General features: G+C 48.2%; 3 annotated features.

Moving 5' to 3' along the window:
- Positions 1,251-1,752: an enhancer, noted in NCBI's record as "H3K4me1 hESC enhancer chr17:72145665-72146166 (GRCh37/hg19 assembly coordinates)". NCBI's record gives its function as "activates a minimal SCP1, AML or CMV promoter by ChIP-STARR-seq in naive H9 embryonic stem cells {active_cell/tissue: H9 hESC(naive)}" and the evidence as "EXISTENCE:reporter gene assay evidence [ECO:0000049][PMID:30033119]".
- Positions 3,267-3,821: an enhancer, noted in NCBI's record as "H3K4me1 hESC enhancer chr17:72147681-72148235 (GRCh37/hg19 assembly coordinates)". NCBI's record gives its function as "activates a minimal SCP1, AML or CMV promoter by ChIP-STARR-seq in naive H9 embryonic stem cells {active_cell/tissue: H9 hESC(naive)}" and the evidence as "EXISTENCE:reporter gene assay evidence [ECO:0000049][PMID:30033119]".
- Positions 15,112-15,613: an enhancer, noted in NCBI's record as "NANOG hESC enhancer chr17:72159526-72160027 (GRCh37/hg19 assembly coordinates)". NCBI's record gives its function as "activates a minimal SCP1, AML or CMV promoter by ChIP-STARR-seq in primed H9 embryonic stem cells {active_cell/tissue: H9 hESC(primed)}" and the evidence as "EXISTENCE:reporter gene assay evidence [ECO:0000049][PMID:30033119]".

Consider the following 25,131-nt stretch of genomic DNA (forward strand, 5'->3'; position numbering starts at 1 on the left):
CACAGACAGAGATCGCACGCTACAGGATTATGGCTGTTCCATAGTGCACTGCAGCTATTTGAATACATTTGCATGAACTCACAAGTCTCAATGCACTTATTGTGGGATGTCCTCATATTGGTTGGGGGGAGGTGGGGGGAAATGGAGGGGAGGGAGACCTTGCCAGGGAATGAAGGCAAAGCCACCTGGGCCAGGAAGAGGGGGTGGCTTCCAAAAATCCCAAGAAGCCATTCTGGAACTTCTTAGAGGACTGTCTCCATCTGGGACCTCAAACCAAGGTGGACAGGACACAGGCTCATCTCCCTGCAGGGAACCTGTTCCTGAGTTCCTCTCGCAGGAGTCCTGAATGAGGAGGGCTTGGGCGCTGAGAAACAGGAAGCATCATTTGCCTGGTGCAAGTCAAAGATGGGCCACCCACAGGGCTTGCATAGGGAACCATGGCTCACCTCCTCCAAAGCTGTGCTCCAATCCCACCTCCACAGCGAGTCATTCCCTGACCACATTATTAATTCTGCAACCGACTCCCCATCCTGACCCTTCCCCATCATCCTATTCCTTTTACTCTCTGCTCTACTTTTTTTTTTCAATATCACTGTGGACTTCTAACGTACCACATGGCTTCCTAAGTTATTATGATCATTGTTAGGTTGAGCTCCACACTAGAATGTAAGCCCCATGAGGGCAGCAATGGTTGTCCGTTGGGTTCGCTGATACATCCCAAATGACTAGATCTGTTTCTGGAACACAGCAGATGCTCTATAAGTACTTCTTGAGTGAAAGCATAGATCAACCCCTTAAGAAAAGAAGTAGCCAGGCGCCGTGGCTCATGCCTGTAATCCCAGCACTCTAGGAGGCCAAGGCAGGAGGATCTCTTGAGCCTAGGAGTTTGAGACCAGCTGGGCAACAAAGTGAGACTCCATCTCCACAAAAAATAAACAAAATTTGCCAGGCATGGTGGTGCTCATCTGTAGTCCAAGCTACTCAGGGCCTGAGATGGGAGGATCGATTGAGCCTGGGAGGTTGAGGCTGCAGTGAGCCATGATTGCACCACTGCACTCCAGCCTGAGTGACAGAGCCAGACCCTGTATCAGAAAACAAAAAAGAAAGACAGAAAGAAAGAAAGAAGGAAAGAAAGGAAGGAAGGAAGGAAGGAAGGAAGGAAGGAAGGAAGGAAGGAGAAAAGGAAGAAAGGAAGGAAAGAAGTGGGCTGTTGTCCCACCTCATTTATTCCCATTCCGCATGCTGTTCCCCGGCCTCCCTGGGAATCTCTGTCCAGGTGTACAGTAACCCAAACCTAAGCCATATCCCCAGCCTAAACAGCACGAGGAAAACCTTCTGAAAGTTGATGGGAACACTTAAGACAAACCCAGCATTTTGCTCAGAGGGCAGCTGTGGGGCTGCCCCACACTCAGAGGCCCACTCAGGGCCCCTGCACTTCTGGGATAAAATGGGCAAAGGGATGGCCCTGCTGGGAGCAAAGCAGCCCGGCCACATCTCCCTGGCTGCGCTCAGCTGACAAGGTCCTCAGCTTCCCCTCCTGCGGGGTTCTTCATCATCCCAGAAATGTTTGCATTTGCAGGTTGCAATTAACATTAGCCTTGGAAGATCTCTGTTTTGTGGGAGCCTCTTAATGAAGCCATTGTTCTTGGCACCTGCTCCACCCCCACCTCATCCCAGCACCCACACACACTCACACTGCGTTCTATTTGGGCTCTCGGGAAATGATGGACCGGGAGCTACTCAGGGATTGAGGTGGCCTCCAGGGTCTGGGCAGCTTCTTGAGACCCAAAAGGTCTTCTACCCTATAATATGGGCCCCATCACCCAGGGGGTGCTACAGAGACTATGGGTCTGAGAACAAAGGAGAAATTAGGAATCAGAAAGAGAAAATCCACTTTCCCTCCCCCAGGCAAGGCCCCTGCCTGGGAAAGCCAGGCAGAAGCAGGGGCGTTGAGGGAGATGGAGGGCTGGCCGGGAGTCCGCACATGCAGACGAGGCGGGAGTGCCTGAGACTGAGAAATACAGCAGCCTCTCAGAGCAGCAGGCGTTCCAACAGAATGACTTCTTTTAATCTAAATTTGATGAGACCAGGGTGCCTTTCACCTAAGAGAGAGGGAAGGGAGTGTACTCCTTGCTCCCTGGCCTTGAGTCCTCCCTCCCCCCGCCACCCCACCTCCCCTGCAGAACCTGTCTTGCCTTCTCAGGCCACTTCCTCCTCTTTCATGCCACCAGGAATGCCCCGGCTGCGGCACACACATTCCTCGGTGACCAGGGTGTAATTCTTATTGACCTGATGTTTTTCTTATCACTGCCCGGCCAGAGCTCCCTGAGTTCCCCAAGGGAGTGATCAAAAGGACTGGTTTGCCCAAGACTGAGTGGATTCCCGGAATGCGGGTCTTTCTGTGCTGAAACCAGGAAAATCCTCGAAAGCCAGGGTGGTGGATCACCCTATTCCAAAGAAGGTTTCAAGGGGCTCATGGGAGACCCTTCCCCGAACAGCTGGACGCCATCCTGAAGGCCGGAACACCTATTGTGACATGAGGTCTCCACCTGCCCAGGGAGGAAGCTGGGTCTTATGACTTGTCACTATACCCCTGTCTGCTCCACTTCAATGCTAGCAGCACTTTCAAACAATTAAGCAGACATAAATCCTGAAGGCTGGGAGGCCGAGGCGGGTGGATCACAAGGTCAGGAGTTCGACACCAGCCTGGCCAATATGGTGAAACCCTGTCTCTAATAAAAATACAAAAAAAAAAAAAATTGGCCGGGTGTGGTGGCATGCACCTGTAGTCCCAGCTACTCAGGAGGCTGAAGCAGGAGAATTGCTTGAACCCAGGAGGCGGAGGTTGCAGTGAGCTGAGATGGTGCCACTGCACTCCAGCCTGGGTGACAGAAGGAGACTCCATCTCAAAAAAAAAAAAAAAAAAAAAACAAAAAAACTCCTGAAGCCAAGGCATCCTGACTTTTCTTCTTGGTCCCTGCCCCTCAACATCCATGCCCAGCCCATCCCATGCACTCCCTATCTCTCATCTGTGCCCACCTCTGTCCACCCTGCAGTGCCACTATCTTGATCACCTGGGCTGGGTGAAACAGGGCTAACTGATTGGGACAGCCCAGCCCAGCCCAGTTGCCAATGTACCAGGAATACACTCAGTGTTATGGGTTGAATTATGTCCCCAAAAAAGATACGTTGGGCTCCTAAACCCCAGTACCTATGAATGTGACCTTATTTGGAAATAGGGTCTCTGCAGACACAATCAAGTGAAGATGGGGTGGTTAGGTTGGGCCCTAATCTAATATGACCAGTGTCCTTAGCCAAAGAGGAAAATGTGGACACAAAGAGAAGACAGCCGTATGACAATGGAGGCAGAGATTGGAACGATACGTTATACATGCATCCTTACGGAGCCAGGGAATGCCGCAGATAACAAGAAAAGACCAGAAGCTAGGAAAGGGCAACGGAGCACCCTGCACTGTAGGTTTCGGAGGAAGCATAACCCTGCCGACACCTGAATTTCAGACTCTAGCCCGCAGAGCTGTGAGACCAGGCATTTCTGTGCTTGAGGCCACCCAGTTGCAGATCTTGATTCCAGCAGCAACGAGAAACTCATGCACCAGGCCAACATAGCGGATCAGACCGAGAAACCACAAGAAAAGTGGAAACCAAAAGAGGGAGTGGGAGCGAAGTGGATCACCCTGGCTCCGGGGCTGCCTAGGGTCCCCGCTGGAGCTGGGGAAAATGATGGAGCTCCAGCCATCAAGCCACATGGCCAGGACTTTAGCCGTTCCCATGCTCAACCAGGCCAGAGTGCTGCCTTGCTCCATCTGTAGCCCTGCCTTGTGCAACGTCAAAGTGGCCAGGCCATGGGCCACCTCCTGACCCCACTGAGCCCAGCTCCAGGGACTCAAGTCAGTGCCAAGTCTTCTCTGCCTCCTCCCACTCCCACTCCAAATGGAAGAGACAGGTAAGGTCAGGCTGCAGGCATTTCATTCCCTGCTGAGTCCCCGGGAGAATACCAACCAGGACTCAGAACTAGCCTGGCACCTGGAAACCATAGCCCCACTTTATTTCTGTGTTCCTCCTGGAGACCCCCTGAAATAAGTGTCTGAGCCTGCCAGGTTCTCCCCAAGGCAGAGCCTGAGATGAGGACATTTGTAGTAGGGGTGTCCTATCTGGGAGGCCACCCCAGGGAGCAGTAATGAAAGAACAAGAGGGTGACATAGGGACAGAAGAAAGCCAGCACAGGAGTGCTGTTGAGACCACTACTGTGAGCAGCAGGAACTCCTTCCTCCGGGACCTCTGAAGAATGAATGGCACAGAATGCTGCCCAGAACTGTGCCCTGTAGGACTAGGGGCGGGGGCAATAACCCACTGCCCCCACATTGCCTGGCTGCAGATGCTCATAGACCAGACAAGCACCTTAGAAGCTCCCACCAGCATCCTCCAGGTTGGAGGAGCCGGGGGCAGAGATGGGAAATGTATGCCCTTGCTTGGGGCAAGATGGCATCAGTGTGGTCACAGTGGGAGCCTGCAGGGCACCGTCTCCTGGCTGGCCTGGATCAGAGGTGGGGCGGAGCAGATGCAGGTCAGGCAGCAGACTGCCTGCTCAGTAGATAAATCTTTCTGCAGACCTTTGAGGAATGACTCATCACTTATACCCAGGTGGGGAATTTGTCTTCCCCTTGCAGGTCTAGGTTAAGAAAAACAGAGAGAGGGTGGCACATGATTGAGAGCTTTTGATGTTAAGTTTCCCTGTGTTACCAGCCCAAGAAACCCTCCGGTGACGGGCAGGCCTGCTCGGGGACAGAGCACAGTGTAATCAGGGATCGTGTCTGCTTCAGAAGTGGCCTGGAGCAGAGATCCCAGCAGCCAGGGTGGCTGGCAGGAGAGAAGCAAGCCAGACATCCCTGCTCCCCTCTGCCTGCCTGTCTTTCTAAGTCCAAAAGCCAGCACAGGCTATCCCCACCCTGAAAATAGGCTGGGATCCAAAAAGTGTTTTGAAACATCTGCTGTTTGGAACTGGAAAGCACCTTCTCATTGAAATAAGACTGTGCACAGCTCCTCAGGCCCCAGCCCAACTCACAGGAAACCCACTGAGCGTGGCCCACCAAAACACCATGCAATCAACGGGGTGAGCACGTCATAGAGTCCCCTTGGAAAGCACAATCACGGTCACAACTCAGGGAGCTAGAAGCACAGAGTTCCCTAGGCAGCAAGGTCAGGGGATCCTCCTCTTCCCATCCTCTCAACTACTGGGCAGTGGCATGGGGCAGTTTCCAAGCTCCAAACTTCTGATGGCAATCTTATAGCCAGAGCGAGGACTCCAGCAAACAGGACCGGGATGAAGCTGGAGGAACTTGAGGGGCTTCTGAAGCTCAGATTCATCTCCAGGAGCTGAGGAGGCACAGGGGAAAGCCCAGGAGAAGGTGGCACTGTACCCTCTTTCTGGCCGTATCTTAGGATGAAGAGGGTAGCCTCTGCCCAAGGATTAGATGGAAGTCACTACAAGTCACCAGCGCCTGTGGCTAAGGCTGACTCCCAGCCTCCTGGATTCTCCCCTGCTGCTCAGACCACAGCTCCTGGAAGCTCCTCCCTCAATGTCTATGGGCTCCACTGGGACTCAATCCCCAATCCCCAGCTCACTTCTCTGAGGACCCAACACAGCCTCCATCTTCTGGACAGGCCAGCTGAGGCCCAGCATCACCCGGGAAGCAAGTGCCAGAATCTAGACCAGGACACAGAACCGCTCACCCCCAGCCGGCCCACCTACTCACCAGGAAGGTGCAAGGAAAGCTCCTGTTTCTCGGGTAATGAAGGCCGCTCAGCCTCTGCTTGGGGATGGGAGCCTGGAGCGTATCTTTTGGGAAATTACAGGTATCACTTTATCTTTCCAGGGGAAAAAATAACCATGGAAAACGCCTGCAATTACAGCTCATCACCACTGACTGTGTAACTGCAGCCTAAGTGCCTGGTAATCAGAAGACCGCAGACAATGAGAATTTGGCTTTATTTAGCACCTTTCTACTCCTCCACCTCCAACCCTTTAGCATGATGTGACAGCAGGAGCCTGGTTTTGCAAACACTCGATACAGCCTTTCCACAGTCTTTCCATACAAAGATCGGGCCACTGACCCTTGGCTGTCCACGGAAATGTCAACTTCTTTTCTTTCCCCAGAGGTCTGGCTGAGTGTTACTGGGCCACCTGGCCCCTCTCAGTCCCTTGCTCTCGTCCGAATTTAGTCTTTTATTCAACCACATTTGTGGAGTGTCACCTCTGTAGCAGCCATGGAGAGAGGAGCAAGTAACACAGCAGTGAACAAGCCAGGCAAGGCCCTGCCCTCCTGGGGATTACATTCCAGTCTGGGAAACAAAGAGTACACAGGGAAACCTGTAAATACAAGAACCACAGCACATCACCAGAACTATGAAAAAATCTTAAAGGGGCCGGGTGCAGTGGCTCACGCCTGTAATCCCAGCACTTTGGGAGACCAAGGCGGGTGGATCACCTGAGGTCAGGAGTTCAAGACCAGCCTGGCCAACATGGTGAAACCCCATCTCTACAAAAATACAAAAATTAGCTGGGCATGATGGCGGGTGCCTGTAGTCCCAGCTACTCAGGAGGCATAGGCGGGAGACTCACTTGAACCCGGGAGATGGAGGTTGCGGTGAGCCGAGATTGTGACATTGCACTCCAGCCTGGGTGACAGAGCAAGATTCTGTCTCAAAAAAAAGAAAAAGAGAAAAAAGGAAAAGAAAAAACTTACAGGTGATGGGGTGGATAGCAACACACAGGGACACATTAGGGTGGTCAGTGAAGGCGTCTCTGAAGAGGTGACATGCCCACTAAAACATGAGGGTGAGGACAAGTGGTTCGTTACAGTCAAAGGTGAGAAGGCAGCAGATGCAAAGGCCATGGGGCAAAAACATCTTACTGGGCCTTTAGAGCTGTGTAAAAGCTAATGAGTGCCCAGAACACAGTGAGAACAGAGGAGAATTGCATAAGCTGAGCTTGAAAAGGCAGCAGAAGAGATGCCACATGACACAAAGGAGTTTGGATTTGAAGCCGATTGGTAGGTTTTAACCAAAGGGACGAAATCATATGATTTGTATTTGGAAAATATCAATTCGGTTGCCAGGTAAAGAATGGATGGGCAGGCCAGGCATGGTGGCTCACGCCTGTAATCCCAGCACTTTGGGAGGCCAAGACGGGTGGATCACTTGAAGTCAGGAGTTCAAGACCAGCCTGGCCAACATGGTGAAACCCTGTCTCTACTAAAAAACACAAAAATTAGCTGGGTGTGGTGGTGCATGCTTGTAATCCCAACTACTTGGGAGGCTGAGGTGGGAGGATCACTTGAACCCGGGAGGTGGAGGTTGCAGTGAGCCGAGATCGTGCCACTGCACTCCAGCCTGGGCAACAGAGCGAGACTCTGTCTCAAAAAAAAAAAGAATGGATGGGCAACAGACAACATGGAGAACATGCGGGCTGGGCGACCAGCAGAGGCTGCTGCAGGGACCTGGGAGGTGACAGGAAATAGCAAGAAGGATATTTACCTATTTGCGTTTGGGAGAAGAGGCCACAAGCTGGATTAGTGTTAATGGAGGTGTGACGATGTGGAGAGGATGGAGCAGATGCTCCCGGAGTCTGTCCGAGCAGCTGGGTGGACGGGAAGGCCATCTGCCAAGGAGGACAAGGTTGCTAAAGGCATGTACAGGACAGAAGTGCTGGTCCACAGCCTGTTTGCTGCCAAATCCATCCCTTATGCTGCCCTTGCCCTTCTCCGTGTCTCAGAGGGGTGCTGACCTCAGCATTTCCCAGGCTCCTGTGTCAGCTGGGTTCAGCCAGTGGGAGACACTGGTAGGGGATTGAAGGGCAAGAGTAGCGGAGTTGGGACATCTCCCTCCCTCTCTGCTTCAAGCAGAGTCCAGGAAGCAGGTGTTATCTCCTCTGAGGCTCCAGCTCCCAGGAGGCAGCTCCCCTGGCTGTGGTTCCCGCTGGGTCTCCCCAGCCCCTGGGGTCAAGGACCCATCTCTGTTCCTTGTTCCTCCAACCACAAGTAGTTAAACTTCCTGCCTTTGCTAACCTCTGGGTTTCTGCATCATTCCTTGTTTGGTTTCTCAGTTTTTCCATTACCTGTGTAACCAAATTCCGTCTGCTTTAAAAATTTAGAGTGGTGTATGTAATTCTGATTGGACCTTGACTGGTACATGAAATGCCTGGATGAGGTGGGAGGTGCAAAGCTGGTCCATGTGGACCTTAAAATTTTAATCTTATATTGATCCTGCCTCCTAGAATTCCAAGTACCAGCCTCCAACAAGCAGAGTTAACCACAACTCCCTTTGGAACATAAAACCACAAGGTCCAGAGGCTGAAAAAAACCTTAAAGATGCCCTAGCCCTAACTGTTACCCAATGCTGGATGCCCTTTGTAATGCCTTACCAGATTATCTTAAGCCTGGGCTAATCACCTTCAGTGACGGTGTATTAGTTAGCTGTTGCAATTATAATGCTGTGTAACAAACCATCCCAAAACTCAGTGGCTTAAAGTAACAAGTAGTTTATTTTCTTGCTCATAGGTCTGCGTGTGGCTCAGATGTTTCTCCTTCAAGCTGAGGGCTTGGTAGAGCTTGGTTCCAATTGGGTTCAAGTCTGCTCTATGTGTCTACACATTCTCTGGAGACCAGAATCCACCTAAGCACTCTTCTGACAGACCACAAGCTCTCAGGAGGATGAGCCAAACCACACGACATCGGAGGCCTCTGTTCGCATCACATCTAACAGAATTCCACTGCAAGTCACACAGCCAAGAGCAATGCCAATGGGGTAGGGAGATATACCCCACAAGATCACGTGACAAAAGGAATGCATGAAGACTCAGGAATGATAATGCAACCAGTAAAAGGTTTCCTCTGTCCTGATTTTGAGCTGGAATCTGCCTGTCTGTGTGTGATGGTTAATATAGGTTGGCGCATCATTAAAAGTGATAGCAACGACCCCAATTCCTTTCGCACCAATGTATATTAGGTGTCAACTTGATTGGATTGAAGGACACCTAGATAACTGGTAAAGTATTATTTCTGGGTGTGTCTGTACGGGTGTTGCCAGAGAAGATTGACATTTGAGTCAGTGGACTGGGAGAGGAAGACCCATCCTCAGTGTGGGTGGGCACCGTCCAATTCAGCTGCCAGCGCAGCTAGGTCACAGCAGGCAGAAGGAGGTGGGATCAGCTTGCTTGCTGAATCTTCCGGCTTTCATCTTTCTCCGGTGCTGGATGCTTCCTTCTGCTCCTTCTGCCCTTGGACCCCAGAATCCAACTTCTTCCGCCTTTGGACTCTGGGACTTACACCAGTGGCTTGCCAGGGACTCTCAGGCCTTCGGCCACAGACTGAAGGCTGCACTGTCGGCTTCCCTGCTTTTGTGCTTTTGAGGCTTTTGGACTCGGACTGAGCCAATACCAGCTTCTTTCTTCCCCAGCTTGCAGACAGCCTATCGTGGGACTTCACCTTGTGATCATGCAAGCCAATTCACCCTAGTAAACTCCCTTTCATATAGACATAGATCCCATTAGTTCTGTACCTCTGGGAACCCTCTAATACATGATGTTAAGCCAAGTTTTCTGTATCCCTGTTCTTCCACGTGATATACTAGACAACCTCCTGCGGGTCCGAAGCCCACTTTTAATCTTCTGCCTCATGAACCTCCCCGATTTCTTTAAAGTCCTGATTTTCAGACCTGTCATCCTGTTTGCTCCCCTCTGAATATGATCCCATTTTATTTTGATTACACCTCATGCATAATGTCCACAACCAACTGCACTTGGTATTTTCTAACCATGACAGATTCCTTGTCCCTGTGGCAAGGAATCACTAGTGGAAGCTGAGTCCATATAAGCAAGAGAAGGCAGCTTCCCCCAAAGCACTGCCTCCAGAAGGTTCTCTTGGTTATGCCACCCACACAGATGATCTCTCCTCTTACGCTGAACCCCACAGTTCTCATGCATCGCTAGGCCTGTGCTTGTTGACAAGCTGCTTCCGGTCCTTAGCCTTGGGTCCATGGACGGACATCATAGCTCTATTTGGGCCTCGAGAACTTAGAAGACAGGGTCTTCTTTGGGACCACAGTACCTGGTACCAGGGTCTGGGAGCCCCTAAGTCTATGTTTGATGATTGGTCAAGTGGTCATGATTGAGGGGCTCAAGTAGCTTTGCCCATAGACACTCAACTATTCTTTAAGGGGTCAAGTCTGAGCTCTTCCTAAAGCAGCCTCCACCAGAATACAAAGCTGGGTGTGAGATCTCAGCACTAGCCCTAGTAAATATCTCAACCCCTCTAGACTGTAGAGATGTTTACAGGAGCTGTCTGCACTGATTTAGGCTGGTCAACTGGAGGGAGTCACACACACACACACACACACACACACACAGCTAAGAACTCAACAGGATTTTGAAGGCCTAAGCAAAGCTGACAACTGATCTACAGCCTCCTTCCTTCAGCTGGAAGGAATCTCATATCCAGGGAGGGAAGAGGCAGCTGTAGCTGAGAAATAGAATAGGGAATGCCTCATCAGGAGAAGGATGGAATAGCAGGCACTAGAATTAAAGGGGGACTTTTCCCCATAATGTTAGTGGAACCCTTGGCCAGACAGCTTCTCCAGTGTATTAGTCAGGATAGAATAGGATAAGCTGCAGTAACAAATATCCCCAATACCCTAGTCCTTTAGCATAGATAAGAGTTTGTCTCTTAGACTACATGGGCATCACAGATCAGCAAGGGGCTCAGCTTATCATGATCTCTCAGGAAGCCAAGCTGGCAAGGGCATTATTTCAACATTTGCTCCCCCTGCCCCCAGTGCTCCCCCTGCCCACAGCAGTGGGAAGGATGTGTCACAGACCAGGCACCCGTTCTGAAAGTTGCTGCCCAGAAGTGAAACATGTGTGTTCATATTTTCTTGATTAGAGTGAGTAGCATAGTGATTGCCAACTTTAAAAGAGGTAGGCAAGTGCAATCCTTCACATGCACAGAGGGCAAAGAGCACAAAAGACCACCATGCCTAATGTCAAGGTGGGAGCCTCAGCCCAGGGGCAGGACCTCCACAGGGCAGAGGTGCCCAGGGCCCAGCTCCTCCCTGGTGGGCCTCTTGTTTGCTCTCTCTTGCTCACTCCTTCTCCCTCCCCCTCTTGCTGTCTTTTTCCACGTATTCATTCATTTAACAAATATTGATTGCGCCTTCATACAGCAGAATGTGGGGCAGCCCAGTGGACACAGCAGATTCAGCCCTGATCTTGTGAGCTCTTGTCCATCAGGGGACACCAGCAACCAAGCAAATCCCACGTCCACCGCTTCTCAAGCCAAACCCCACGTCTTCCTTGATCCCTCTCTTCCTCACTGCCCACATCTAATTCATGAGTAAGTCCCATCAACTCCACTCCAAAATCATGCTGAATCTGACACCCCCCTCCACCACAGATGACCCCTGTCCCATCACCTCTCTCCTGTACCCCAGTAGAGGCCCCTGGATGGTCTCCCCATCCCACTCTTCCCACCTGGAGTCTGTTCTCCACACAGCAGTGAAAGCAATCTTAAAAAAGCCAATGGGTCGGGCGCGGTGGCTCACGCCTGTAATCCCAGCACTTTGGGAGGCTGAGGCGGGTGGATCACGAGGTCAGGAGATGGAGACCATCCTGGTTAACATGGTGAAACTCCGTCTCTACCAAAAACAAAAAATTAGCCGGGCGTGATGGTGGGCGCCTGTGGTCCCAGCTACTCAGGAGGCTGAGGCAGGAGAATGGCGTGAACCCGGGAGGCAGAGCTTGCAGTGAGCCAAGATTGCACCTCTGCACTCCAGCCTGGGCAACAGAGCAAGACTCTGTCTCAAAAAAAAAAAAAAAAAAAAAAAAATCAATGCCACCAGGTGCAGTGGCTCATGCCTGTAATCCCAACACTGTAAGAGGCTGAGGCAGGATAATCACTTGAGCCCAGGAGTTCGAGACCAGCCTGGGCAACATGGCAAAATCTCGTATCTACAAAAACAAAAAATGCAAAAATCAGCCTGGCATATAGTGGTGCGTCCCAGCTATTTGGGGGACTGAGGCAGGTGGATCACTTGAGCCTGGGGGGATCAAGGCTGCAGTGAGACAAGATGGCAAGCCGATATGAGTGGAAGGCAAATATAAAATAGGTGAACAAACATAAACTAAACACAAATTGTGTTAGGCATTATGTGGACGACAAGTGAGGAGGTGCTGAGCTAGTGAAACTCACAGGGACAGCCTGGAGGCAGGCAGTCAGGGAAGGTGTTTCCAGCACCTGCCATGCCACCCTGGCCTCACCTCCTACCCCATCATCTGCTGCAGCTCCCAGTCCTGCACAGACCAGCCTCCCATAGGTGCCATAGGGCAGTGCCTGGCCTCAGCCTACACGGTGACTCTGAGGCCCTCTGTCACGGTGGAAGGAAACATCTGAGGGCTCTCGCTCTTGTGCAATCCTGGAGAGTGGGCGACTTCACGTCCTTGGAGGCACCCCGACCAATGGACCGACGGGGACAGGAGCCCATGCACAGAGGCTTTTCCCTTTCATCCTGGGGGGCAGGCCTGAGGTGCACATTATACAACCCCATGGGGCAAAGCGCCAGTGCCTGTGGCTGCAGCTGCCTCCAATATTGCTTTTTCCTCCTTCCCTGCTTCACTCCCTTCTTCCTTGCTCCCACTTCCAAGAATCATATTCCCAAATAAACAACATGCCAGTAAGCCCTCATCTCAGGGGAATCAAGGCTGAGGCAGAGGCCTCCTTGAGCAAGTGACGGCTGGACTGAGCTGCACAGGCCGAGAGGAGAGGAAGGAAGACCACCCCAGGCAGCGAGGATGAGTGGGAGCAGATATCCAAGGGGTCCCAGGGGCTCATGTGTCTGGGGAATAAAGAAGGGGCAGCCGGAGTGGCCTGAGGGTAGGGAGGGAGAAGGCATCAGCCCTCGAAGGACCTTCTGAACAAGGCCAGAGAGCTGGGACTTCCTCCAAGGGCAGCCGGAAGCCATCAAAGGGTTGAATCAAGGGAATTCACACAGCTCAATATGCCTTTGAAAACGGCGGCTGCTTGTGTTCGTTCCATCTAGTCTCTGCGTGTCTTACATCCTCCCCTTTTTCTTTCATAACCTGGCTCTTCTCCGCCTTTCATTCTCTCTGACTCCCGTGCCTACCTGACCCTCTCCCGCTCCTTGCACCCGCTAACCTCTGGGGCTGCTTCCTGGACCTCTCTAGCCCTCAAGTCCCGTTAAAGACACCATGAAGAGTGAGGCAATAAGGCGAGGCAGCATCGTAGTGGGGACCGTATTTTCTGAGCCCATCCAGGACTGAGGTCTGAGAAATCTTGTTGCACCCGCGGGAGGGTTGGGGCAATGTTTGAAATTGGAGCTGTCGTGAGAGTTCTGAGAAGTACGGTTGCCGTGACTGCATGGTGAATCCAAATTGCAGGAGTCAGACAAAGTAGAAATCGCTGTCCCCAGGATATGGGGGAAGAATTCAGGGATGGGCAGTGGGAGGCATTGAGCTTTGTAGCCCACACACCTGGCTTCTCTCCAACAACCACCACCACTCGCTGAATGGCCACGGGCAAGTTACTTAACTTCTCCAAAACTCAACTCCAATGTTTAGAAAAATGGGGCAATAATACAGAATTCATTAGGACTCTCGGTCACAAGTAATGGGAAACACACACAAACTACCTTAAAATGAGGAGGGGAACTTGCTCTCATAGAGCACCAGGAGTCTTCCAGAGACAACAAGACAGGCGCACGTTTCTCCTCCTCTCTTTGTCTCTCCAGCCAGCACCTTCTACTTCCCAGCCAGGGTAGAGAAAGCCAGAAAACTAAAAGAAAGCCTGGGTTACAGCCCGGGCAACACAGTGAGACCTCATGTCTACAAAAAATAAAAATAAAAAAATCAGCCAAGCGTGGTGGTGCGCACCTGTAGTCCCAGCTACTTGGGAGGCTGAGAGGGGTGGAATGCTTGAACCTTGGAGTTTCAGGCTGTAGTGAGCCGTGATTGCACCAATGCACTCCAGAGGGAGACCCTATTTAAAAAACAAAAAAAAAAAAGCCTGGGTTTATATGTTAAGATTTGGCTTCCTGGCCAGGCACAGTGGCTCACACTTATAATCCCAGCACTTTGGGAGGCCGAGGCAGGCAGATCACCTGAGGTCAGGAGTTCGAGACCAGCCTGGCCAACATGGCAAGACCCTGTCTCTACCAAAAATACAAAAAATTAGCCAGGCATGGTGGCACATGCCTGTAGTCCCAGCTACTCAGGAAGCTGAGGCACAAGAATTGCTTGAACCTGGGAGGCGGAGGTTGCAGTGAGCCAGGACGGCGCCACTGTACTCCAGCCTAGGCAACAGAGCAAGACTGTCTCAAAAACAAACAAGCCAAGCACGGTGGCTCATGCCTGTAATCCCAGCACTTTGGGAGGCCGAGTCAGGTGGATCACCTGACGTCTAGCATTTGAGACCAGCCTGGCCAACATGGTGAAACCCCATCTCTACTAAAAATACAAAAATTGGCCATGTGTGGTGGTACGCACCATGGAATGTGCCTGTAGTCTCAGCTCCTCGGGAGGCTGAGACAGGAGAATCACTTGAACCTGGGAGGCAGAGGTTGCAGTGAGCTGACACCATGCCATTGCACTCCACAGGCAACAAAAGTGAAACTCTGTCTCAAATAAACAAAACAAAGCAAAACAAAACAACAACAACAACAAAAAAGACAAAAACAAAAAAAGATTTGGCTTTTTTTTTTTACAGACATCAGTCTCTGTGTGTGTGTGTGTGCGTGTGTGTTTGTATGTACGTGTGTCTGTCTACTGTCCCAATTCCAAATTTCTAGTAGTAGCTGGCCCAGTGGATCAAGTGACACGTGTGGGCCAATCAGCCGTGCTAAGGCACCATAATCTAGAGAGAGAAGTCTGAGTGACTTAGATTAGCCTGGACCAAGCACCTGCAGTCATGGTGAGGCTGTGATGTGCCAATTCAAGTGTCAGAACCCCACCCTGGAACATGTGTGTGTGAGAGTGCGTGTGTGTGAGTGTGAGTGAGGGTGAGTGCATGTGTGAGTGCATTTGTGTGTGAGTGTGTATGTGAGTGTGTGTATGAGTGTGTGTGTGAGTGCGTGTGTTTGTGTGTGAATGTGTGTGTGAGTGTGTGTGTGCGCGTGCGCACGTGTTGGGTGAAGGAGAGACATCCTTCCCAGAAAAGCAAGGGAGGCTGTAGCTGGGCAGTTGACAAACAGGGAACACCACAAAAACCTAGTCCCTGAAACGGGATCATGTTGGTGAAGTGCTCACAGCAACAGCTGCAATAAATGGTTCCCGCGACTGTAAGCTGACCCCTGCAGTGCTATTTATCTCCTCCTCCAGCAAAACTTCCTTAGAGCTGCCCAGGGCCACAGTCTTCACTTCCTTATCTCTCGTTCCCTGCTTACTGCTCCACGTGGAGTAAAACCACATCTCTGTGGTCACACTCATCCAAGTTCCCAAGTTCCCATCCTCCTAATGATCACCAAAGTCAGAGGTAAGTTTTCTGTTCCTCTTCTGTGTTATTTCTCAACAGTGTTCAGGATGATTGCCCACTCTGTCCTTCCTGAAGTGCGTCCTTCTCTTGGTCATTGGGCTCCTGCCTCCTCCCAGTTTTCCTCCGCCTCCACTGGCCTATGTTTCTGCGTGCTGGCGTGCCCCGACACTCAGCCCTTGGCCCACCTGCTTCTCTAGCCAGTAACTCTCCAAGGGCCTCATCCACTTCCGTAACTTTGTCATCTACGGCCAATGACCTTCACATCTCCATTCCAGCCCTAACTTCTCCCCAGATCTCCAAATGCCTCTATCCAACTGCCTGCATATCATGCTATCTTCACATGGGTGTTGTAAACTCAGCAGAGTGAATTGAACCCCCTCTACCCTGACTTCCCCATGCCATTGAAATAGCATTCAGTGACATAGGAGTTGTCCCAGACTCCTCTCTTTCCCTAACCCGCTACCCCCAATCCATCAGCAAGTCCTGCAGGCTCTGCTCATCAGTCATAGGCTGAATTCATCCACTTCTCTCCAGCCATCTCCACTACTATCAGGCAGCCATCACTTCTTGCCTGCACTACCCCAATAATCTCCTAACTGGTTTCCTCCCTTTCTCTGCTGTCCCCCACAATCCATTCTCCGTTTAAACGCCAAAGCGATGATTTCAAATGTATAAGCCAGATTATGTCATGTCCTTACTTAAATGCCTTTCTTTAACACTCAGAACAGCACGCTAACTCCTTACCTTAACCGACAAAGCCCTAGAGGATCTGCCACTGCCCATCCCCCAGGTGCTACTGCACGCCATCCCCCCACAACACACACACACTCTGCTCCAGGCACGCTGGACAGCTTCTGTTTCTCCAATAATTCAAGCTTATTCCTGCCTTTGCAACCACCCACTCTGCCTAGACAGCTTTTCCCCCTCCACACCTTCCACCAAACCCTAAAGTCCCATCTTCATGTGACCAGCTCCTCTGATCTCCCAGCTCTTGACTGAAAAGTCACCCCTCCAGTGGGCCTTCCCTAATTGCTCTATCTAAAGAAACTGCTCAGGGCTGGGCCTGGCGGCTCACGCCTATAATCCCAACACTTTGGAAGGCCAAGGCAGGAGGATTGCTTGAGCCCAGGAGTTTAAAACCAGCTAGCCAACACAATGAGACCCCATCACTTAAAAAAAAAAAAAAAAGGTTTTTGTTTCAATAATCTGGATGTGGTGGCAAACGCCTGTGTACCTCCAGCAATTTGGGAGAAGTGAGAGGATTGCTTGAGTCCTGGAGGTTGAGGTTGCAGTGAGCGGTAACTTCACCACTCCACTCCAGCCTGGGCGACAGAGCAAGACCCTGTCTTAACAAAAAGAAAAGAAAAGGAAGCTGCTTAGTGGATCTGTATCCGTCACCTATTGATTTCTCTGCATAGAAATCAGTACTTTTCAGTCAGGCGTGGTGGCTCATGCCTGTAATCCCAGCACTTTGGGAGGCCGAGGCAGGCAGATCACGAGGTCAGGAGATCGAGACCATCCTGGCTAACATGGTGAAACCCCGTCTCTACTGAAAATACAAAAATTAGCTGGGTGTGGTGGTGCGTGCCTGTAATCCCAGCTACTCAGGAGGCTGTGGCAGGAGAATCATTTGAACCCAGGAGGCGGAGGTTGCAGTGAGCCAAGATCACGCCACTGCAGTCCAGCCTGGGCAACAAAAGGAGACACTGTCTCAAAAAAAAAAAAAAAGAAAAGAAAAGAAAGAAAGAAATCGGTATTTTTCAAATTTATTTATTGGTTTATGCATCTGTCCTTTTCTAATGTATTTATTTCTTTATGGTCTATCATTCACCAAAATATAATCTCCGTGAGAGTAAGGACCTCATTTATTCTTCTGTCCCCTATGTCCAAAACAGTGCCTTTCACATAGTTAGCACTTAACAAAATAGAAGAAAATAATAAATATATAGTAAAGGGGCAAAAGGGGTAATAAACCAAACATTATTTAAAAAAAAAAAAAGGTCACTTGTGGATGAAGAAGTGCAACAAATATCTGGAAAGGGAAAAATGATGGAAGTGTGCAGATGGAGGAAGCTGCCACTGGAATATGCTCCCGGGAGGCTGGGTTGAGTCAGCCACTGAATTTGCATAAAGAACGCTAGAGAGATTGGGGCTTGCAGTTGTCAAATACAACCTGTGGTGGGAGGGAAAAGGGGGAGGTGGTGCCAAAAACACAGGGGTTAATTGAAACTCTGTGGAACAAATTTGTCATTCACCACCCTCCAACCCCACTCCCACCTAACAGAGCAATAGGCAACACAGCGAAAACCAGAAAGCACTCCTGGCTAAATCAATGAAACTGCTAGTAGAGAATGGGAGGCCGGCGCGGTGGCTCACGCCTATAATCCCAGCCCTTTGAGAGGCCAAGACGGGAGGATCACTTGAGCTCAGGAGTCCAAGACCAGCCTCAGTAACAAAGGGAGACCCCCTCTATACCAAAATTTTTTTTTAAATTAGCTGAGCATGGTGATGTGTGCCTGTAGTACCAGCTACTCAGGAGGCTGAGGCTGGAGGATGACTTGAGCGCAAGAGTTCAAGCCTGCAATGAGCTGTGATTGTTCTACTGCACTCCAGCCTGGGCAGCAGAGCGAAACCCTGTCTCAAAAAAAGAGAGAAAGAGAGAACAGAGCGGCTGTTGTGGCTGCTGGTGTTCCATAGTAAAGTTCATCTCGTTCTGCCATTTTTGCCTCCCCACAACCTAGCTTCACAGCCACGTCCCTGGCCAGTCCTCATAAAGCAAAGCCAGATAGTAAAGCAAGCCCTGCACATGAACCCAGAGGTCCGAGGCAGCATCTCCATATAGGGGAGGTACTCAATGGGAAAATAAAACCACATATAAAAATCAGGAAACCCACGCCAACCTCCTAGAATAATTACCCCCGTCCTTCATTCTTAAATAGAAACAGAAAAATGAGATTCACTAGACATGTGACAAATGAAAGAGAAACTCTAAGATTAAAAAAGAAAATGAACAGCAATCCAAATGTATCATCAAAGAAATGTGGAAGCCGATTACGTCCAAAAAAGAGAACAGATTGCAATGAAAAAAGGAATTATCAGAGAACAAGAAAAAGTTCTTAGAATTTAAATCATATGGTTGTTACCATAAAGGCCACATATGGCAAGCCCACAGCTAACATCGTACACAATTGCAGAAAGTTGAAAGCTCTTTCCTCTAAGATCTGGAATAAGACAAGGATGCCCAGTTTCACCACTTCTATTCAACAGAGTACTAGGAGCCCTAACCAGAGCAATTAGGCAAGAAAAAGAAATAAAATGCATCGAAATAGAAAGAAAGAAGTAAAATTGTCTCTGCTTGCTGATGGCATGGTCTTATAAATAGAAAATCCTAAAGACTCCATCAAAAAACTGTCAGAACTGATAAAGGAAGTCAGTAAGGTTGCAGGATACAAAATCGACTTACAAAAATCAATAGCATTTCTATACACTGCTAACAAACTATCTGCAAAAGAAATTAAGAAAACAACCCCATTTTTAATAGCATCAAAAAAAACACAGGAGTTAATTGAACCATGCTGAAAACAATAAAACATTAGTGAAAGAAATTGAAGATAACACAAATAAATGGAAAGATATCCCATGTTCATGGGTTGAATTAATATTGTTAAAATGTCTATACTACCCAAAGGTATCTCAGATTCAATGCAATCCCCATCAAAGTTTCAATGTCATTTTTCACAGAAATAAAAAAAAATCCTAAAAATGTGTTCAGAAAAACAAAGGGGGTAAATATTATGTTAAGTGTTCATACTCCCCCGCCCCACACACACAAAAACAAATAAATAAAGTCAGTAAGAGGAAATTTAGAGAAGTGATGGATATATCTATGACCTTGATAGTAGGAATAGTTTCACTGGTATATACTTATCCCCAAACCAATCCAGTTGTATACATTAAATATGTACAGCTTTTGTATGTCAATCATACCCCAATAAAGTGGTTTTTAAAAAAGAAACAATATAGTTGCTGAAATATAAATACATTAGAAGGGTTAGAACGTAAAGTTGAGAGAATTTCCAAAATGTTATAAGAAAGAGAAAACCTGCATATGCAGAAAGAAAGAAAAGATAAGAGACATAGCACATCAATCCAGGAGGTCCAACGTCTGACTAATAGACCCTATAGAAAGCGAGCAGAGAAAAAAACATACATAAGTAAACTACTAAATAAAAGCAGAAGAAGGTTTTCCATTATTTAAGGCAGAAAGAATCTTTCGGAATATAATATTGGGAAACATTAGTTCATCAAACAAAAAGACCCTGAAAGTCTCCAGAGAGAGGAAAGAAGTTACTTACAAAGGAATTAGACACCACCTGTGGTTTCTCATCAGCAGTACTGGATCCAGAAGTAAAATGAGGCCCTCAACATTCCCAGGAAAAATTTGTTTTGAAATTAGAAAACTATGCCCACCCAAACAAACAATGAAGGAAAAAAAAAGTCTCAGACATCCAAAAATGCAGAAAAACTACCTCCTCTGCATCACTTCCAAAGAAATTACCAGAAAAAGTACTCTAACAATATAAACAAGATACCAAGAAAAAGAGAAAGTTGGATTCAAGAAAAAGCAGAACTCTCACTAAAAAGGAAATCCCAGGATAATGGCTGGTTGGAACCAAATGTCAGTGTACTCTAAAGACAAGTTCTTCAAAAAGAGCACAGTAAATTCCGAACGAGGCAGGCGCAGTGGCTCATGCCTGTACTCCCAGCACTTTGGGAGGCTGAGGCAGGCAGATTACTCGAGGCCAGGAGTTCGAGACCAGCCTAGCCAACATGGTGAAACCCCATCTCTACTAAAAATACAAAAATTAGCCAGGCATGGTGGCGCATGCCTGTAATCCCACCTATTTAGGAAGCTGAGGCACGAGAATTGCTTGAACCTGGGAAGTGGAGGTTGCAAGATAGCTGAGGTCGCACCACTGCACTCCAGAGACTCCGTCTCAAAATAAAGAAAAAGTAAATAAACAAATAAATTCTAAATGATAGGTAGACTTAATAAGAAATTGGAAGATGTTTGTGAAATGATGAGTAAGATAATTTTGCTTCCACCAAAAAGAAGAAAAATATACACTTAAGGCCGGGTGCAGTGGCTCACGCCTGTAATTCCAGCACTTTGGGAGGCTGTGGCAGGTGGATCACCTGAGGTCAGGAATTCAAGACCAGCCTGGCCAACATGGTGAAACCCCGTCTCTACTAAAAATACAAAAAATTACTCAGCGTGGTGTCACGTGCCTGTAATCCCAGCTACTCGGGAGGCTGAGGCAGAAGACTCGCTTAAACCTGGGAGGCAGAGGTTGCGTGAGCCGAGAACATGCCACTGCACTCCAGCCTGGGCAAGAGAGTGAGACTCTGTCTAAAAAAAAAAAGTATATATCTATATACACACATATATATATATACACACACACACACACATGCACACACTTAAAAATGCCAAGAAAAAAATTGTACCAAACAATCATGATCTGAATCATGAAGCAAATTAAAATGTGGCATGATTTTGAACAAGTGATGGAGAATACAAAAAGATTTGATTTTGTATAAGGGTTATGATATGAGATTGGAGAGGAAAAAAACATAATCCCTTTATACCATACTACTGGTTCACTGCAGAAAACAATGCTTATATCATCACAAAATACAAAGGCTGTTGACTGGATTTCAACTTTTAAAATCATTGTATAGATAAAACATGAATGACATAAATGTGGTTAAAAAACAAACTTTCAATGTCGCCAATTTTGACAATGTGAAAGATAAGGATGCAGAAGTTGGGAAGTTAGAAGGGGTGGGGAGAAGAGGAGAAAGGAGAATAGGAAATCTAATCATGTCCTCGTGTTACAGGGTGGGCACACAGAATTACTGGCTTACATTAAGGGAATAAGAATTGGACTTTTTAGGCTGGGCATGGTGGCTCACATCTGTAATCCCAGCACCTTGGAACACCTGAGGTCAGGAGTTCAAGACCAGCCTGACCAATATGGTGAAACCCCATCTTTACTAAAAATACAAAAATTTGCCAGGCGTGGTGGCAGGTGGCTGTAATCCCAGCTACTCAGGAGGCTGAGACAGGAGAATTGCTTGAACCTAAGAGGTGGAGGTTGCGGTGAGCTGAGATCATATCACCGCACTCCATCCTGGGTGACAGATGGAGACTCCATCTCAAAAAAAAAAAAACAGAATTGGAAGAATCGGACTTTTTTTGAGACCAGGTTTCACTCTGTTGCCCAGGCTGGAGTACAGTGGTATGATCATGGTTCACTGCGACCTTGACCTCCTGAGCACAAATGATCCTCCTGCCTCAACCTCCTGAGTAGCTGGGACTACAGGCACATGCCACCACACACCTGGCTAATTTTTTTGCTTTTTGTAGAGATGGGGTCTTTCTATGTTGCCCAGGCTGGTCTCAACTCCTGGGCTCAAATGATCCTCCCACCTCATCCCTTCAAATTGCTGAGATTACAGATGTGAGCCACCAACAAAATTGGATATTTTAAGTGTATTAATTAAAATTGATAAGGTAACCAGTAGAAGAAATAATTACCAAAATAGGACGTAGATGGGGGAAGTAAGCAAAGTCTTCATATCTCACAGTAGGGAACCAATATGGGCCTAAAGTTAACAAATCAAGAAATGGAAGTTTAACAATATTAGAGGTCACCAAAGACCACACACACACACACACAACACACACACACACACATACACGACAGTGGTTGCCTCTGAAGGACAGAACTACACGTATAGACTCGTGGGGAGTTCTTTATGATCAGCTGACTGAAAAAGGAAATTAAATCAGATCTAATTTACAGATGGTTCTGCATGGTATATTGGCATCAACCAGAAGAAGACTACTATTAATACATTACCACTGTAATCGAGAGCATCTCTTAAAGGCAGTGGTTAAGGGAAATCCTCCCACTAGACAGAAGTTCCAGCATTATCTTTGGTTGTCTACTTGGGCTGAATGGAGAGATAACCAAAAGTATGGATCTACACTAACTTATGGGCTGTGGTTAATGGCTGGACAGGATGCTCAGGGACTTGGAAATAACAAGATTGGAAGATGAAGACAAGGAGCTCTGGGAAGGAGGAATGTGGATGGACTTCTTGGAGTAGGCACAGAGGACAAATATGTTTGTGTGCCGTCTGAATATTCACCAAAGTCTAGCCACTGTAGAGGAGGTTTTCAACAAGATGACACATTTTGTGGATATCCATTTACATTTTTCCCCAGGCCCCTGATGGTTGTGCAATAGGAGAGTATACAAAACAGTCACAGTGGCAATAGCAGAGTCTATGTGTGGGCTTAGTGATAAGAACTCCACTCACAAAATCCACCTGGCTACCACCTCTGCTGCATGCCCAAACTGACAACAGCAGAGACCAACACTGAGCTGGTCTCTAGTACCATTCTGCAGGGGGATTAGCCAGACATGTGGTAACAGGTTGATTATATGGAAAGGGGCAGCAATTTGCCCTCCCTAGAATAATATGTATTCAGGATATAGATGTACCTTCCCTGCTGACAAAGTTTCTGCTAGTACTACTATCCATGACCTCATAGGGTGCCTTATCCTGTGAGGATAAGGTTATCCACCATCATGATATTCCACAGATGTGGTTTGGCTGTGTCCCCACCCGAATCTCATCTTGAATTCCCATGTGTTGTGGGAGAGACCTGGTGGGAGGTAATTGGATCATGGGGGCGGTCTTTCCCATGCTGTTCTCGTGATAGTGAATAAGTCTCACGAGATCTGATGGTTGTAAAAAGGGGAGTTTCCCCACACAAGCTCTCTTCTCTTGTCTGCCGCCATGTGAGACATGCCTTTCACCTTCCACCATGATTGTGAGGCATCCCCAGCCACACAGAACTGTAAGTCCATTAAGCCTTTTTTTCTTCCAAGTCTCAGGTATGTCTTTATCAGCAATGTGAAAACGGACTAATACACCCACATGACAATGTTTCTGATCAAGAAACTCACTTTGTAGAAGTAAAGTGGGGCTGGGTGAGGAGGCTCATGCCTGCAATCCCAGCACTTTGGGAGACCAAGGCGGGAAGATCTCTTGAGCCCAGGAGTTTGAGACCAGCCTGGGCAACATAGTGAGACCCCACCTCTACAAAAAAAAAATACAAACAAAAATTAGCCAGGTTTGGTGGCATGCACCTGTAGTCCCAGCTACTTGGGAGGCTGAAGTAGGAGGGTTGCTTGAGCCCAGAGAGGTCAAGGTTGCCGTGAGCCATGATCGTGCCACTGCATCCCAGCCTGGGCAACAGAGCAAGGGCCCTATCTCAAAAAAATAAAAATAAAAAAGTAAAGCAATGGCTCATGCCCCTGGAAATCAATGGTCTTCCCACATACCCCATCACACAAAAGCAGCTGGTCTGACAGAACAAGCAAATGACCTACTGAAAACTCAGTCTGCCAACTGGACAATAACATTCCAAAAGATTGGTCTGTTTTACAGGATGCAGCATATGCTGTGAATTGATGTCCAATCTACAGCCATGTTTTTCCCAGACCAGAATACACAGGCCAGGGAAACAAGGAGTGGAAGTGGAAGTGACTCCTCTTACTATTTTTAAAAAATACTTTCTGTAGAGAAGGAATCTCACTATGTTGCCCAGGCTGGTCTCAAACTCCTGGCCTCAAGCAATCCTCCCGTCTCGGCCTCTCAAAGTGCTGGGATTACAGGCCTAAGCCACCACACTCAGCCACCTCTCACTATCATACCTAACAACTCTCACAGAATGTTTGTTTCCTATCCCCTCTTTAACTTTGAACTCTGCTGGTTTGGAGGTTTTAGGAACCAAAGGAGGAATGTTTCCACCAGAGACCCAGTGATTGTTCCACTGAACTGGACATCAAGGCTAACACCTGGACATTTTATAGGCTCTTTATGCTGCTGAATAAACAGGCAGAGAAGAGAATCACTTTCCTAGTTAGCAAAGAGAAACTAGTTAGCTACTATATAAAGGAGACAAGGAACCCAGGAAGTTCTCTGGTGACCCGTGTAGTACTTCCTTGTCTAAGGGAAGACTAATGGATATGGAACAGGCAATGAGAGAAGGAAGTTAATATCAACACGACCTCATAAAAACAAGAACATAGAAAGCAGGAATATTTTCTTCCTTGCCTGTTGATATGTATACATGTTTGCACTGGCACATATTAACTAATGTCTCTTCTCTCTCCTTTGCCGTTTTTATTTTATGTAAAGATTATTAGCAGTGGTTAACTTCACAATTTCATCTTTAAGTTACAAAATATTCAGATGGGACCATGACTAGTTTTGAGGGGTGATCAACATCATCTAGAAACGAGTACCATGACTGTCACTCAGAGGAGGATATAAGAGCTCTTGGGATTTTATGTCTCCTCTCTTTGAGAACACTGTGAGTGTCTTTGTACAAAAGATAATTGCATGTTATAAGGTAAAGGTGTACGTTTGTTGTTATCATTAGATGGTGTTCAGTACATGTAGATGGATGCTGAGTAGCCAAAGGGGTGGAGGACTG

The sequence above is a fragment of the Homo sapiens genome, chromosome 17 (genome assembly GCF_000001405.40).
Source record: "Homo sapiens chromosome 17, GRCh38.p14 Primary Assembly".
NCBI lineage: Eukaryota > Metazoa > Chordata > Mammalia > Primates > Hominidae > Homo > Homo sapiens.